The following is a 16,838-nucleotide window of genomic DNA, read 5'->3' as shown; positions in this document are numbered from 1 at the left end:
GAGTGGTGAGGCCAGGTTATCAGAATTCACAGACCTCGTTTTAAACTACCATGTTCACCTTGACTGTCTTTCTGAACCTTTTGCAATGTTATCTTGATAAATGTCATGGATTCCCTCTCTCTTCTTTAAAGGAGAATGAGTAACACAAATGTCACGCCCTAGCATGGTGCCTGGCATAGAAGAGCAGTCAGTCAATGTCATCTCCATCCCTCCCCCTGCACGCCCTTACTCCACTTTCCCCTTCTCCTTCTCAGAGGAAACATCTGTCTATCCAGTGCCTCCCAAACTGGAAGATGCCTAAAAATCACCTGGGGATGTTTATTGCAATGTAGATTCCCAGGCCTGACCCATGAAGATTCTGATTCACTAGAGCTGAGGTGGGGCCCAGGAATCTGCATTTTAAAAACAAATGTCCCATGGACTACACTTGATCTTAGCCAAAAGGCCAAGATGTGATCAAATGTCTCATGTAATTCTGATTTTGTTGTTCCTTGGGTCATACTTTGGCAAACACCAATCTGTGGGTTTTTAAAGAAAATTGTTTTTTTCTTACTTAAGAGAACTGTTAAAAGTGTATACGGTAAAACAAAAGTCAGAAAGTTTAAAAGAGTAGACAGTAAAAAGCATCTCTCCCCATGGATAAAGATGATCATGGCAGCAGTTTTGGTAATAGTGAAAAATTAAAAACAAAATGTCCGGCCGGGCGTGGTGGCTCACACCTGTAATCCCAGCACTTTGGGAGGCTGAGGTGGGCGGATCATGAGGTCAGGAGATTGAGACCATCCTGGCTAACATGGAGAAACCCCATCTCTACTAAAAATACAAAAAAATTAGCCGGGCGTGGTGGCAGGCACCTGTAGTCCCAGCTACTCAGGAGGCTGAGGCAGGAGAATGGCGTGAACCCGGGAGGCAGAGCTTGCAGTGAGCAGAGATCGCGCCACTGCACTCCAGCCTGGGCGACAAAGCGAGACTCCGTCTCAAAAAAAAAAAACAATGTCCACCCCTAGAGATTATACATAAATGCAAGGTAGGCTATTTGCAAGATGAGAATGTACTTATAGTAGTGATAATAAATATAAATAATGTATGAAAGTGAATAATCCCAGAAATAATATTGAACAAATGAAGGCAAATTGCAGAACCATCCATCTGGAGCAAGCTGTTGATGTGTGTCACACACACACAATTCATCAGAGCAGTTGCCTCAAGGAAGGGGGATAGAAATGTTATGAAAAAGGGAATCAAGAGCGATCACAACTTTCTAACATTTTATTTCTTTTATATAAATAAAGATCTGAGGTAAATTCCAGAAAACATGAACATTTGTTAAATCAGAGTAAAGTGCACACAGGTGTTTCTTATTTTCCTTTTTGTTTTTCTTAAATTAAAAATAAAAGTAGTCCCTTCGCCCCTGGTCGCCTTGTTTCCTCTCTCGGCCGTCCTGCTATTGTTTTCCTGGATCTGTCTAGGTCTAGGCCTGCCCATGCATTAATAAGCACATACATCTCATCCATATTCTTCATCTGATTCTCTCCGACCTCTTCCAGGGCCTGGTCCTATCGATTAAATTCTCTCCCCATCTTCAAACCGTTCAGTCCCTTTCCCTGCAGGCTTATTCTCCAGTGACAAACATTCTCAGGTCTCTCATTTGAGAAAAGCTTCTCTCCATTCCTCCTCAAGACACTTGTTCTTTTTTTTTTTTTTTTTTTTTTTTGGTTGGTGGGGGACAAATCACTTTTTTTTTATTATTATACTTTAAGTTCTGGGATACATGTACAGAACATGCAGGTTTGTTACATAGGTATACACATGCCATGGTGGTTTGCTGCACCCATCAACCTGTCATCTACATTAGGTATTTCTCCTAATGCTATCCCTCCCCTAGCCCCCCAACCCCCGACAGGCCCCAGTGTGTGATGATCCCCTCCCTGTGTCCATGTGTTCTCATTGTTCAACTCCCACTTATGAGTGAGAACATGCAGTGTTTGGTTTTCTGTTCTTGTGCTAGTTTGCTGAGAATGATGGTTTCCAGCTTCATCCATGTCCCTGCAAAGGACATGAACTCATCCTTTTTTATGGCTGCATAGTATTCCATGGTGTATATGTGCCACATTTTTTTTTATCCAGTCTATCACTGGTGGATATTGGGTTGGTTCCAAGTCTTTGCTATTGTGAACAGTGCTGCAATAAACATACGTGTGTGTGAAGACACTTGTTCTCTTGGTGTGAACACAGTACAAGCTGAGAATCTTTGATCCAAAAAATCGTTAAGTCCAAAATGCTCCAAAATCCAAGTTTTGTTGTTGTTGTTGTTGTTTTGAGATAGAGTCTCACTCTGTCACCCAGACTGGAATGCAGTGGCACGATCTAGGCTCACTGCAACCTCCACCTCCTGGGTTCAAGTGATTCTCCTGCTTCAGCCTCGCAAGTAGCTGGGATTACAGGTGCGCACCACCACGCCCAGCTAATCTTTTGTACTTTTAGTATAGATGGAGTTTCACCATGTTGGCCAGGCTAGTCTCGAACTCCTGACCTCAAGTGATCTGCCCACCTCAGTCTCCCAAAGTGCTGGGATTACAGGCTTGATCCCACCCACCGTGCCCAACCCAAAATCCAAAATTTTTAAGCACTGACATGATGCCACATGTGGAATATTCTACACCTGACCTCATGTGACAGGTCAAAGTCAAAATGCAGTCAAAACTTTGTTTCATGCATAAAATTATTATAAGTATTGTATAAAACTACCTTCAGACTAGGTATATAAAGTGTATATGAAACATAAATGAATTTAGTATTTAGATTTGGGTCCCATCTAAACAGGTAGGAGTGGAGTGGTCTACCATCTTAGGCCCATTGGTGAGGCCCTTTAAATTAGACTGACAAAAGACAAATTAAGAGGAGAACTACAAGTTTATGAACATGTGCATTGTGTGTGCACATGGGAGCACGCAGTACTGACTACCTCAACGCGGTGGTGAGAACTTGGGTTTATATAGCAGCTCAACAGAAGGGCGAAAGATTTTTAGAGAAGTGACAAGACAAAGGAAAAGGACTTCAAGTTTCTAGAGCAGCAAATTTTGAAAGTAAACATATGGGAGAAATGAACAGAGAGGAGGGCTAGTTGGTAAGGTTTGTTCCAGTGGTTAACTTCAGTCTTTCCTGGTGGTGAGGGGGCAACTTCACAAATTTATGCTCTGCTTTTAAGCAAATGAGAAATGGCAGAGAGCCTTATCTGCTTCTTCTCAATTGTCTTCAACTAAAAATAATCGATATGCCAAATTGGCTTATTTGGAGGTTGCATACTCTGCCACCCTTCCCCTCCCTCTCTTCACCACTTTTCTTTCTGTGGGTGCGTGTACATTATACTGGGGCCCTGGAAACTGGTATTGGGTGCTGAAAACTGGTGTTGAGCCCTGATCGTTTTATGACCTTATGCCCAATCTGTCCATGAGGCTTCCTTCAACTCCGATTGATTTATCCTAATACATTTTGCTTCACAGTGGGCCAGGTCCCAGATTCTGAAGTGGGGAAGAAACGATGACAGGGTCAGACATCAGGTGGTGAGGTCTTAGCACACAGGTTCACAGACACATAGAAAAGGAGAGAAAAGGCCGGGCGCAGTGGCTCACACCTGTAATCCTAGCACTTTGGGAGGCCAAGGCAGGTAGATCACGAGGTCAGGAGTTCAAGACCAGCCAGGCCAAGATGGTGAAACCTCGTCTCTACTAAAAACTATAAAAAATTAGCCGGGGCCAGGCGCAGTGGCTCACGCCTGTAATCCCAGCACTTTGGGAGGCCAAGGCGGGCAGAGCATGAGGTCAGGCGTTTGAGACTAGCCTGACCAACATGGCGAAACCCCGCCTCTACTAAAAACACAAAAAGTAGCCGGGCGTGGTGGCACAGGCCTGTAATCCCAGCTACTCGGGAGGCTGAGGCAGGAAAATTGCTTGAACCTAGGAGGTGGAATTTGCAGTGAGCCGAGATTGCGCGCCACTGCACTCCAGTCTGGGGGACAGAGCAAGTCTCCTCTCAAAAAAAAATTAGCTGGGCACGGTGGCAGGCACCTGTAATCCCAGCTACTTCGGAGGCTGAGGCAGCAGAGGTTGCAGTGAGCTGAAATTGCACCACTGCACTCCAGCCTGGGTGACAGAGTGAAACTCTGTCTCCAAAAAAAAAAAAAAAAAAAAAAAAAGGCCAGGTGCGGTGGCTCACGCCTGTAATCCCAGCACTTTGGGAGGCCGAGGCAGGCGGATCACGAGGTCAGGAGATCGAGACCATCCTGGCTAACACACTGAAACCCCATCTCTACTACAAATACAAAAAAATTAGCCGGGTGTGGTGGCAGGCGCCTGTAGTCCCAGCTACTTGGGAAGCTGAGGCAGGAGAATGACTTGAACGCGGGAGGCAGAGCTTGCAATGAGCCAAGATCGCACCACTGCGCTTCAGCCTAGGCGACAAAGCAAGACTCCGTCTAAAACAAACAAACAAAAAAAACAAAAAAACAAAGTAAGGGAGAGAAAGACAAGATAGAAATGAGCAGTGACTGTGGAGGGAGGTTGGGCTGTGGCCTGAGCTCAGGAGAATATCAGAGGTAAAGGATGACTTCTGGAGGAAGTAAGGGTGTGGAAGCTGAGTGAGATTAACACAGAAATAAAACAGAAAGGATGGAGGAGTAATGGAGGCCGTTGGAGGAAGGTGGTAAAAGAACAACTCTGTCAATGACAGCAGCTGTCACCCTACTGAATGTTGATTACATGCCAGGCATTGTGATAAGGATTTGTAGGGATAGTCTTTCTTACTTATCCCAATGCCTCTGTAGTAGGTACTATTATTTTACTCATTTTACAGATGAGGAACTTGAGGATCAGAGAGGTTAGAGGGCTTGCTTGGAGTCACAGAGCTAGTAACTAGAAGAGCTGGGATTGGAACCCAGGTCAGTTGGATGCCAAAGCCCAGGTTCTCATCCACTCCTTCTACCACCTTCCAATATTGACTCAGGGGCATTTCTTCCCACCACGCCTGCTGTAGGCTGAGGAATGCGATGTCTCCCAGCACCCCAAAGAGTGAGGTGCCGTGTGATGAGCTAACTCGGAGGTGTAGCTCAAAAGCCCTGCTATGACTGAGCCGTCTGCCAGGGCTGTGAGTGCTCAGAGTGGAGACGTTCTCATCCGCCATCAGGGAATACTCACTCCATTGTGCTGGCCCCACCTAAATGTTTTTTTATTGCCTGCCCTTCACCATGAGTAATGCCACTTTCCATTTTAAGCTGGGAGCTTCAGGAGATGACTGCATTACAAGCCAGGGTTTAAAGCTAAGAGCTGCCTGGGGGATTACTCACCCATTTCAAGACGCTGCCCACAATGCACCCTCCCACTCAGGATGCTGCTGGAAGATCTTCTTCCTTGCCAAAGCCTAAAAGAAATCTGATTTCCCCTGGAATCCGACTAGGAGTGGTGCCAGAATATCAGAAAGCTGGCGAGTTAACTGGTTCTCCAAGTGGAGCTACCGTGCTTGTTTCTGGTCCTCTCATGTGTGCTAAGGTTTTGTTGCTTGTTCATTCATTTGGCATTTGCTGAGGGTCTACTATGTGCCATGCACTCTGCCCATGATGGAGAGACTATCACAAGCTAAACAGCTTTAGTCCTTGTCCTCAGGGAGCTAACAGTCTGGGGGTGTGGGGATAAACAGACAATTATAGTAAAATATCATAACAGAATATGCTAAATCATATGACATGCATGCTCAGGGAGTTTTGGAAACCAACAGCCAGAGGATTTATACTAAGGTAGGTATGAAGGATGAGGAGGAGCTGGCTTGGTTTCTTAATTGTAAGCAACCAAAATTGACTCTAGAAGGAGAGTTCAGAGAACCTGGGGTTGCTCCCAGAGTCACTGGGAAGGTGTGGTGGCCCCAAATCACACTGCAGGAATGGTCCAGCCAGACCAAGATGTACGTGTGTATGTGTGTGGTGGGGAATGAGGGGGCGGGTGTAACTTTCAAATACATGGGGTGGGGATTCAGATGCCGGGCCGTCAAAAATGATGACAAATTTCCAGAACAGCAGGTAGAATTAGGGAAGGTGTGGAGGAGAAGGCTGTCTCAAAATGACCTAAGATATTCTGAGTCAGAGAAAACAAAAGGAACAGCTTAAAGAGAGCACCAACTCAGTGAGGCAACCAGGCAGTGGGGCCGGCTGGCCAGACTCTTGGGGGATTCCTTAGTGAGTGAGTTCACTGCTCAAAGAAGGGCTTTGCCACTTCTGCAGGGAAGCCAGCCACGGGCCAGCAGGTAAGCATGTTTTAAGGCTTTCCTTTTTTGTTTTAGGGCTCCTGGGGACATTCTGGAAGGCCACAGTTCTCACTACAAGCCTTGAGATTACAGAGCCTAGCTAAGTCGGGAAAATGTTCTCTGCATGAGAATTGGAAAAGATGTTTGGGGGAAGCCAATAGGATAATGATAATAGCCAACTTTTATTGCTTGCGCTAACATGAGCTTACATGCATTATTTCATTTCATACTCATAATAAACCTATCAGTTTAGATGAACAGACTGAGGCACAAGGATTTTAAATGACTTGGCTAAGATCCCATGGTTAGCAAATTGTGGAGCTGGTATGCAAATGTAGATCTGTTTTACTATAACTAAGAGTCTGTTGACAGAAAACATGAAAAAGTGAGGGCCAGATGAAGAAGAATGTTCTGTGCATAATAAGCGATCGGAAGGAAGCCTGATTCCTTAGCGGTCACCTCTCTCATGGGTACAATTTTGAAACTTAAGGTCAGCTGTTGGTCCCTACTGAGAAATTTTCAAATAGAATCCAAAATGGAAAAGCCCTATTTTCCTAGAGGGAGACTTGAGTGAGGAACTTTAGCCAGTAACTCAGGGTATTGCCTCCTAGGTTGCAGCAAGAGGTATATATAGCATTTTAAAATTGATTTTGTCAGAATAATAATTTCTCTGATTATACAAATAATACATGCTCCTTGTAGAAAATTAGGAAAAAATAGAAAAACATAAAGAAGAAAACAAAAATCATCTTTACTGTTAGCACCCAGGAATGGCTTTTGTCATATTTTGGGGTATGTGTGTGTGTGTGTGTGTGTAATTTGTAGTCTCTTTTTCTGATGCATATATGGTGATACTGTCTTTTAAATTACAGTTCTTTATATCTTCGATAATTGTTATGACCTTGATTTAGCCCTTTCCTCAAGGGAGAATTATATCACAACATTCAATTTTGCAAATCTGTTGATAGGCAGTACAAGCTGGTTTCTTCAAATGAGGAGGCAGAAGCCATGGAGCCTCCTGGGGTGCGTTGGATATAGTGTATGTGAAAGTGCCTAGTTCTTTAAGAAAAACTTGGTTTTTCCTTATTTGTTAATATTTCTAGCTGGTAAGCATTGCCTAAACAAATGTTTAGCATAATGACTAACCTAATCAGGCAACCATATATTTATTAGGAGAGATTTATTCCATACTCTAGGCTATGCATGGCATTCATTGATGTTGTGTACACAAAAAAAACAGAAGAGCAGTTTCTAGGACTCAGCTCCAAGTGGAGTCTGTCCTGATCCCACCTCCCCTTCACTGGTCTACAGGATCCCAGGTCTTCCCATCTCCCAGCCAAACATATTTCAAAAAGCCACAGTCCAACACACACAGCTCTTTGGCTCTCTCAGGCAGGTGTGCAGCAAGGCCTTCACAGACCTCAGTGAGCGTCTCCTCTGGGAGCCCACGTGGCTCAAGCCAGCACAAAGCCAGATCTATTTGGTGGCTGCTGTTGTTCACTCTTGGCATACCGTATGCCACCCATTCTTGTCCTTTACCCAGATCATCAAGACAAAGCCCTACCAGTTCAGAAGCCCTGTGTGTTCCCTCTTCATATCTTGATATCTGCTTTGTGTTGGGAGTCAGTGGCCAGTCAAGTGCTTGCATGATGCAGGTGGGTTTGCTGATGCAAACAAAGTTGCTGGCATGTGAGTTTTCTGACCCTGAAAAGGCCCCACAGAACTATCCCCTCAGGCCTTGATCAGGACATTACCCCCAGGCCAAGGGGACAAGGAAAATGAACTTGAGTGTACTTCATAAGTGACAGCCAAGAGGGAACCAAAGCTCCTAGTTCTTCTCTTCCCTTCCTGTCTCCATGTAACCTTTTCTTCCTGGGCCATTCCTGGTCCTGGAGGTAAGGTCACTGCTGACAGCACCCATCTGGTGACCCAGGAAGCCAAGGGTCAGCTGGCTTCTCTGACAGTGGTGGATGCCCTATTGTGCTCCTCCTAGAAGAGGGTTCTCTTAACTCTTGCTTTTCTGCTTTGTTTTCCCATGCTTCATTTGATTTTCTTTTTACTTACAAAAGTAACCAGTTAATTTATGTGTCTATTTGAGAGGTTAATCATCTCCAGTGCCACCTTCAGATCCATTTTTCAGCTCCATGAAATTCATAAGATTCTCTTTACATATTCCATTTGTAAACCGAAACTGAATAATAATTCAGATGCCTGAAATACCTCTTAGCCCTGGGAGTGACCTAATTTCTCAAGATCTCAGTTTTATCATCTGTAAAAATGGAATCATAAGATTCTCTTTACGTATTCCATTTGTAAACCGAAATTGAATAATTATTCGGATGCCTAAAATACCTCTTAGCCCTGGGAGTTAATTTCTCAAGATCTCAGTTTTATCATCTGTAAAAATGGAAATAACACTGTTTATACGGTGGTGCTGCTATAATAAATCATGAGATAACAAAGTACTCAATAATATAGTACAAATAAATTAGATTCAATTCATTACAATATGTTTTTACAACAAATTTACCTTTACAATGACCATCTGTGGCAAGTGATACTGGTTTTTCATTTTCATTATTGATGTCAAGTTCCATTTAAAATGAATTTCAGCTTAAAGTGAAAATACTTCAAAAATACTAATTAAATAAAAAATACATTCTAGCTGTATATATTTAGATTATTCAAGACAAAAACATTCTGAATATATAGAAAATTAACCCCCACAGAAAAAGGAAATGACAAACACAAGAAGAAAAGAAACCCTAAGTGAACCCTAAATCAACCAGCTAACCAGACAGCAGAAATCTCAGATCAAACAAGGACCAAGAGTTGGAGGAAGCACGCAAAATAATTCTCAATGGCTTTTTAACCACTAAGACCAAAACAGCAAAATAGGCAGTTAGTCCTCATTGCCCGATCTTCTTTTTGTGGCCCTCACAACTTCTTTTGTTATCCTGGCCAATCTCCACTGGAAAGTCTCAAAGCATTCAACATTCTCCATTAGAAGAACCACCTAAGTGTGGGATCTCTATACGCCCAAATTATCTTTCCCTTCCCTGCAATCAAAACTCTTCTCCTTTTGTAATATGTATGTCTCCAAAGTGTTATCCAGAAATCCTAGTATTCAACTGAATAAACACCAACAGATATTCACCGAGCATCTACTAAGTATATGGAGAGAGTCTATGTCTGTGGGGGAAGGGAGTGCACAAGATCCAATCCCTGCCTTCGAGGAGTTGAAGATTCCCAAGGGAGGCCAAACGGAGGATGCAAATAGCTCTAATTGCAGGGTAGGATACAGTGACTGCCACAAACAGCCACAGCCAATATGCACAGGATGTCACAGGAGGAAATGACTTTTGGTTTGGTGGGGATGAGGACAGGTTCAGATGGAGGCAGCATTGGTTCTCTGAGAAGCATTTGACTTTAAAAAGATTGTATTAACTCTTGTGCCCTACCCCTCAATTGGTGGATTATTTCGAGTCTCTTGCCTATTCTTGGATAACAGCTGGAAGAAGGTACCGCATCCTGCTGTTTCTTCTCTGAGACAGGCCATCTCCCTGCTCATGCGCATCACAAGCCCACAAGACAGGCTTAGGTGCATGTGGCTCTGTGCACAACCCTGACCCCACCTGGCAAAGGCCTCAGCTCCAATGCCGCTTCTCAGAGAGACCCCCCCCCCCACCATACTCCACCTCCTGGTGCACTCTCCCCTTCCAGCCCCCGTGGGCTCCTTTCTACCAGGAGATACGGGAATTAGCACCATTTTAGATTTTCTTAGCTGTTCACTTTTAAAAATTTAATACCTCCCCCTATAGGAATAAAAATTGACAAGGAAAGCAGGGTCTTTGCTTTTCTTGTTTACCCCTGTGTTCCCAGTGCCTGATAAATCACAGTATTTAATACATATTTGTTGAACGAATTAATGAATAATAGTCTAATTCAGTCTCTTCTTCTCGAGTTTCTTCCTCTCTCTGGTTTGTTTTTGTGAAGAGGGGTCCAGGGTTTTAGAAAATACATATGATTCATTCCAAAGTGACTTAATCAAAAATACTCATACTTGGGTTCAGTATGGCAACTGACAAATTAGCAGAGTTTAACAGACTTTGGTTTGTGAAGAGACTTGAGCCAGCATGCATCTTTTCAGGTAAACTGATATGCAACACTGGATGGGACAGATCATCATTTATCCCTCCCACCATCCTTTCTCTCAACAACTATTTTTTTCCAGCTTTATTAAGGTATTATTGACAAATAAAAGTTGCACATATTTAGGGAATATGATGTGATGTTTTGATCTATGTGTCCATTGTGAAATGATTACTATGATCAAGCTGGTTAACATATCCATCACCTCGCAACATTATCGTTTTGTGTGTGTGTGGTGAAAACATGTCAGATCTACCCTCTTGGCAATCTTCAAGTATACCACACATTACTGACTATAGTCACCATGCTGTACGATAGATCTCTAGAACCTATTCATTTCGTCTAACTGAAACCTTGTACCCTTTAACCAACATCTCATTTCCAGTCACCTCTCCCCAGCTCCTGGCAACCACCATTCTACTCTCTACTTCAATGAGTTTGACTTTTTTTAGATTCCACATATAAGTGAGATCATGTGGTATTTGTCTTTCTGTGTCTGGTTTATTTCACTTAGCATAATGTCCTCTAGGTTCATCCATGTTGTCATAAATGACAGGATTTTCCTCTTTTTATGGATTAATAGTATTCCATTGTCTGTATATACCACATTTTCTTTAGAAGAAATGTGTTACAGATTTCATGTGTGATACAGATGAAATGAAGTGTCCATTTCATCTGTAAATGGACACTTAGGTTGATTCCATATCTTGGCTATTGTGAATAATGTAGCAATGCACACAGGAGTGCAGATATCTATTTGAGATACTGATTGCAATTCCTTTGAATATATACCCAATAGTAGGATTGCTGGATCATGTGGTAGTGCTATTTTTATTTTTTTGAGGAACCTCTATACTGTTTTCCATAATGGCTGTACCAATTTTTATTTCCACAATAGTGTATTAGGGTTTCCCTTTCTCCACATCCTCACCAATACTTGTTATCTTTTGTCTTTTTGATATTAGCTATTCTAACATGCATGAGGTGGTATCTCATTGTGGTTTTAATTTGTGTTTCCCTAATGATTAGCAATGTTGAGCATTTTTACCTGTACCTGCTGGCCATTTGTATGTCTTCTTTTGAGAATTATCTGTTCAGGTCATTTACCCATTTTTAATGGGATTGCTTTCTTACTGTTGAGTTGTTTGGGTTCCTTATATATTCTGGATATTAACACCTTATCAGATGTGTTTGCAAATATTTTCTCCCATTGCATAGGTTTTCTCTTCACTCTGTTTTCTTTGCTGCCCAGAAACGTTTTAGTTTGATGCAATTCCATTGAACTATTTTTGCTTTTGTTGTCTGTGCTTTTGGAATCATATCCAAAAAATGATTACCCAGACCTGCATCAAGAAGCTTTCCCCTATGTTTTCTTCTAGCAGATTTACAAACTCTGGTCTTACATGTGAGACTTCAATTCATTTTGAGTTGATCTTTGTACTTTGTGTGAGTCAACACATATTTATTAAGCACATATTATGTGCCAGGCTTATGCTAGACATGGGATAAAAAGCTGAGCAAGATAGGGGTTCTGCCCTATGGAGCAAAGTCAGAGGAAACACTCAAATAACTAGTGCGAGGCCTCCGGGGTGAAGTCTGAGGGAGAAGAAGGAATATCCTGGGGGTCGTAGCAGGTGGAGGTGGTGGCATTGTTGGCAAAGAGAGGTCCATGCCAACGGAAAAGCAAGTTCAAAGGCTCAAGGTGAGAGTAAGCATGGCACATGTGAGAACTAAAAGGAGTTCACTCTTGTTTGAGGCCACTGATGGTTCAAAGCTGGGGAACTCTCAGGCCATCTGTCTTTACTCAGTACAAAGACCAGGAGAGCTTGGGGGCAGAGTGGGTCACCAGCTGTCCTCAGGAAATGACTGGAATGAAAGCTCTGCCGGCTTTGTTCACTGCCATGCTTTGTTCGCTGTCTGAGGATGCAGCCAGAACATAGTAGATTCTTAATGACCATTTGCTGAGTAGGTGAATGAAGCCCCCACAGATGGTCTCAGCTTTCTCCTCTAGCATCACCAAGCCCCACAGAGTCATAAGACCAGAAGGCAACTTGAGAGCCAGCTGGTCCACCCTTTCCCCTCCAGGCTCTGTCCTGCCCTTAAACCTCCCTCACAAATGGCACTGTTTTGTAGATGTTATAAACTACAGTAGCATGACTTGTCAATTGGGTTCTTGAGATCATACTCACACCAAGGGAGAGACAATGTGTCCAGTCATCTGGTGAGTCCAAGGCAGGGTGCAGAAGAGCAGGGACGACAGTCCTGGATGCCCAGGCTGCATGGCAGGCAATGAGGGAGCTCTGGCTCCCAGCACTGTTTGTCAACTATTAAGATGCCATGGTGGCTGGGCATGGTGGCTCACACCTGTAATCCCAGCACTCTGGGAGGCCGAGGCAGGCAGATCACGAAGTCAGGAGATTGAGACCATCGTGGCTAACATGGTGAAACCCTGTCTCTACAAAAATACAAAAAAATTAGCTGAGTGTGGTGGCAGGCACCTGTAGTCCCAGCTACTCGGGAGGCTGAGGCAGGAGAATGGTGTGAATCCAGGAGGCGGAGCTTGCAGTGAGCTGAGATCGAGCCACTGCACTCCAGCCTGGGCGACAGAGCAAGACTCTGTCTCAAAAAAAAAAAAACAAAAACGCCGTGGTTCTTCACTTCCAAATCTGCCTCTGGAGGTCAATGACCTCCACATTCTCAAAGCAGCACATCTTGTTTGGAAATTATATTCCTTGTATCTTTGGTGTTGGGATTTTAAAATTCGAGTTTAGTTCATCTGCCAGTACCGTGCGCTGGCTAAATGCCACTGTCTCTCCCAGAGAGGGCCGCTGGGCTGACATACTCAAGGTGTCCTGGCTGGAAAGCTGTGAGCAGTGGACACAGCATTTAGCCCATACCCACATATACCACTTGATCTGAGGTCCCAAGACCTCTTACTTGGGCAATTGCAGCTGATTTCCTTGCCTTTCCTCCAATTAGTCACTCAGCAGCCAGAATGACATTTTAAAAATGCAAATCTGATAACATCACATCCCAGCCTGAGTATTCCATAGTTTCCCACAGTTCTTCAGACAGGTGCCTACAGGACCCTGTGTAGCCTGGCCCTGCCAGCTTCCCCAGCCACAGCCTTCTCCCCTCATCCATAATGGACTCTGTTCAGTTCCCCCAAGTAAAACTTGCTCTTTCTGGACTCATGACCTCTGCACATTTACCTGCAACCTCCCTCTCTCTACTCACTAGTAATAGAAATACCCCTTCCTCTAAGAAGTCTTCCGAAGTCTCCCAGGTCCTATAGATTGCTTATTACCTGGCTCTCAGGGCAACCTGGACTTTGCCACTATAATACTCAGTTCATTCAAAATCGCTTGCATGGGGAAAGGTCTTCCCCACCAGAATTCAAACTTCAAGAGAGCCTCTCTGTGCCTGCCTTGTTATTCACAATATTCCTTATGTCTGGCACATAGTAGGTACTCACTGAATATGTGACAAGTGAATGAATGAGTCCTCCGATTGTTAAACAGCTGGGAACAATTTTACCAAATAAAATAAGAGGCAGAGACAAACTGAAATGTAACAGGACCTCATGGTAATCCTGAGCCACCTCCCTTCCTCACCCTAAAGGCCTGATGTCATCATATTATGGGCTTGTGTGTTGTGATTAGGTCCCAGTTTTTGAGATCCGGTTTCTGGCTCAGTTCAGAGAAAGCTGGGCCTTTCCACCAGGCACCATCATGGTCAGCAAAGCAGAACTGTGGAGCAAATCAGATAAGGTGCAGATGCATTGGTGTACCTGCTAGTGGCCCGTGCCTCCCGTCTCACTGCAGAAGCAGAAAATCCGGCTCCAGCCTCACACAGCAAAACAGAGCAAGAAGGAGGGGGAGTCTTCACTTATGTTGCCTCACCCTCTGTTTTATTTTCTTCCCACCAGCAGCAACAAACAGTAATTCAATAAAGGAAATACAAGTAATGGAAAGAAATAGAAAAAAATAAACATATCAAAATGGGCAGTGTCCCCAGGGCCACCGCTTTTAAATAAAACAAGAGTAGATTTGGACATATTTCAGTGGCTTTGCTAAAAAGAGAAAAATAATCAAGCCTTCCCTTCCTTTCTAGGCTGCACTGCTTTCTTCTATCTTGATGTAGAAAAAATATCACCCAGACTAGGGAGTCTCACATCAGAATCCTCTGTGGAATCTTGTTGAACATGTGGGTGCCAGCCCCGACTCAGCCCAGCAAGTCAGAACCCTTTGTTGGGGGAACCTATGTGATTCCCAGGCAGGTGGGCCCTACTTTGGGGAAGAAAGCTCAGGGTGGGAGTGCCATGGTATGTCCTGTGCCTTGTAACACAAGATGCAGCTTGGGTAAGAAGCTCAGGTCTGTAACTGGGAATTCCAGCGTCAGGCGCTGCAAACCTCATTTAAAATAAAGCACCATAAGCTTGACTTCGGACATGCAGAAAAATGAAGATTGTTGATTTCACCTTCTGTGGAAGGGGCGGGGGGGCATATTCTATTCATTTTATTCACTTAAGTCGACACTGACTGAGCTGCTCCCATAGGGAAGGGCCTGTGCCAGGTACAATAGAAAGGTGATGATGGCGGTGGATTTGAGCAAGATGAAGATGACGGTAACTCACATTTACTGAGACCTTAGTATGTGCCAGGTGTTTTACATGCATTATCTCATTTAATCCTCCCCAACACCCTACGAGGTACTGTTATCATCCCCATTCTGTGGACAAGAAAACTGAAGAAAATTGAGGCACAAGGGAGTGGAGTGACTTACCCAAAGTCACCCAGCAAGTTAGTGCAGAGCCACAGGGGGAGCCAGGTCTCCCGGACTCTGGAGTCTAGTATCAACCATTATAGTGTAAGTCTCCCTTAAGACATTCAGCCCCTGCCTTTCCGATACTTAAATTAAGTGGAAAAGGTACAAGAAAATCAAAAGAAGTACTCCAAATTATACAGCTTTGTGCAACAACGAGCAATCGACCTGGGGACATCTGGTGAGACTTATCCTGTTCTGGCTAATTACTCAGCCTGACTGTTTGTTACTTTGTTACAAGGAGTCGTGGAAAAAAAAAAAAGAAAAAAAAAGCAATAACCAAAGCAACTATTTTCTCTTCTCCATGGAAAGGCACAGTCAGCAGATTTTTAGAGAAAGTCAAACAGTACCATTATCCACAAAAGTGTAGGAGCCAGGAGCTCTGCAGTCCAAACTGAGGAGGGAGGCTTCATTATTTTGTGAACTCCCAAAGGATGAAAGACATTAATAATACTATTTGTGGTAAGCTTATCATATGCTGCGTACTGGACTATTCCCTCTACACGTTATTATCAAATTTGATCTTTGCAACTCTATGAGTAAGTACTATTCAGATGAGGAACCAGACTCAGAGCGGCTAGCAACTGGCCTATAGTCACACATCTGCTTAGTGGCAAGGGGTCTGAATTCCAGCCATGGTTCTTACCCTGAATCTAGGCTGTCTCTTATTTTAAATACAAGGATACCGTTTGGAATGCTAAGTGAGCAAGAATTCACAACCGTCTGCCATTTTTAACTTGGCTGTGCCAAGCCTCACTTCAATCTGGGAGACTGGCTGGATTCTTATTTCAGCAAGTATTACTTCAATACACTATGCTCTGTGCCAGGCACAAAAGCCCTGCATTTAATAAGTGGGAGATGTGGTCACAGTGGATAAAAGGAGCACACATAAAACTTTAGAGAGGTGATTTCACTAGAGGGAGTTTTTTTTTTTTTTTTTTCTTGAGATGGAGTCTCGCTCTGTCACCCAGGCTGGAGTGCAGTGGCACGATCTCGGCTCACTGCAAGCTCCGCCTCCCGGATTCACGCCATTCTCCTGCCTCAGCCTCCCGAGTAGCTGGGACTACAGGCGCCCGCCACCACGTCCAGCTACTTTTTTTTTTTTTTGGTATTTTTAGTAGAGACAGGGTTTCACCGTGTTAGCCAGGATGATCTCGATCTCCTGACCTCGTGATCCGCCCGTCTCGGCCTCCCAAAGTACGTGGATTACAGGCGTGAGCCACCACGCCCAGCCGAGGGAGGTCTTGATTCAACAGAGTCATTAGTGCCTGGAGATTCATGGAGGAGCTGAGCTTTGAACAGATGCCAGGAGTGGAGGAGAGGTCAGAAGTCAGGGGATGAGCTTCGAACAGAGGTCGGAGCTGAGACACCTCTAATGGTGGTATAGCAAAGCAGTAAATTGGGCCCCAAAGAGTCAAAGGCAAAAGGCAAGTCCAAAGCTGCTTTCAGCCAATGCTGCAGTGGGCATTCTGCTCCCCGTGAGCCTGGGGCACACTGGACTCCGGCAAGAGTCACAGGCCCACACTGCTGGAAGAGCATCCCTCAGGTAGGGCACGTGCACAAAAATGGGT

The 16,838-nt window shown here is 44.1% G+C and overlaps 1 protein-coding gene across 25 annotated transcripts in view, besides 2 other annotated features; it reads left to right on the top strand.

The window, feature by feature from the left end:
• The window catches only part of FGF1 (fibroblast growth factor 1), a 105,893-nt gene that overhangs the window by 47,667 nt on the left and 41,388 nt on the right, over positions 1 to 16,838 (top strand). Inside the window, exon 1 of one of the 25 annotated variants that reach the window (NM_001257210.2) lies at positions 6,165 to 6,291. The exons of the other annotated variants lie outside the window; for them this stretch is intronic. The gene's annotated coding sequence lies outside the window, so the exon portion shown is untranslated. Of the gene's footprint in view, positions 1 to 6,164; positions 6,292 to 16,838 lie in introns of those variants that run through there. 25 annotated transcript variants of the gene reach the window in all.
• Positions 4,600 to 5,799: an enhancer, noted in NCBI's record as "CDK7 strongly-dependent group 2 enhancer chr5:142024170-142025369 (GRCh37/hg19 assembly coordinates)". NCBI's record gives its function as "activates an origin of replication core promoter dependent on BRD2, BRD4, P300/CBP, MED14 and CDK7 cofactors, with strong dependence on CDK7, by STARR-seq in HCT116 cells {active_cell/tissue: HCT116}" and the evidence as "EXISTENCE:reporter gene assay evidence [ECO:0000049][PMID:35650434]".
• Positions 5,924 to 6,268: a promoter, noted in NCBI's record as "-264 to +81 promoter". NCBI's record gives the evidence for it as "EXISTENCE:reporter gene assay evidence [ECO:0000049][PMID:9719443]".

The sequence above is a fragment of the Homo sapiens genome, chromosome 5, assembly GCF_000001405.40.
Source record: "Homo sapiens chromosome 5, GRCh38.p14 Primary Assembly".
Lineage (NCBI taxonomy): Eukaryota > Metazoa > Chordata > Mammalia > Primates > Hominidae > Homo > Homo sapiens.
The sequence above is the reverse complement of the archived record's forward strand: the minus strand, read 5'-3'. Positions and strand labels throughout refer to the sequence as shown.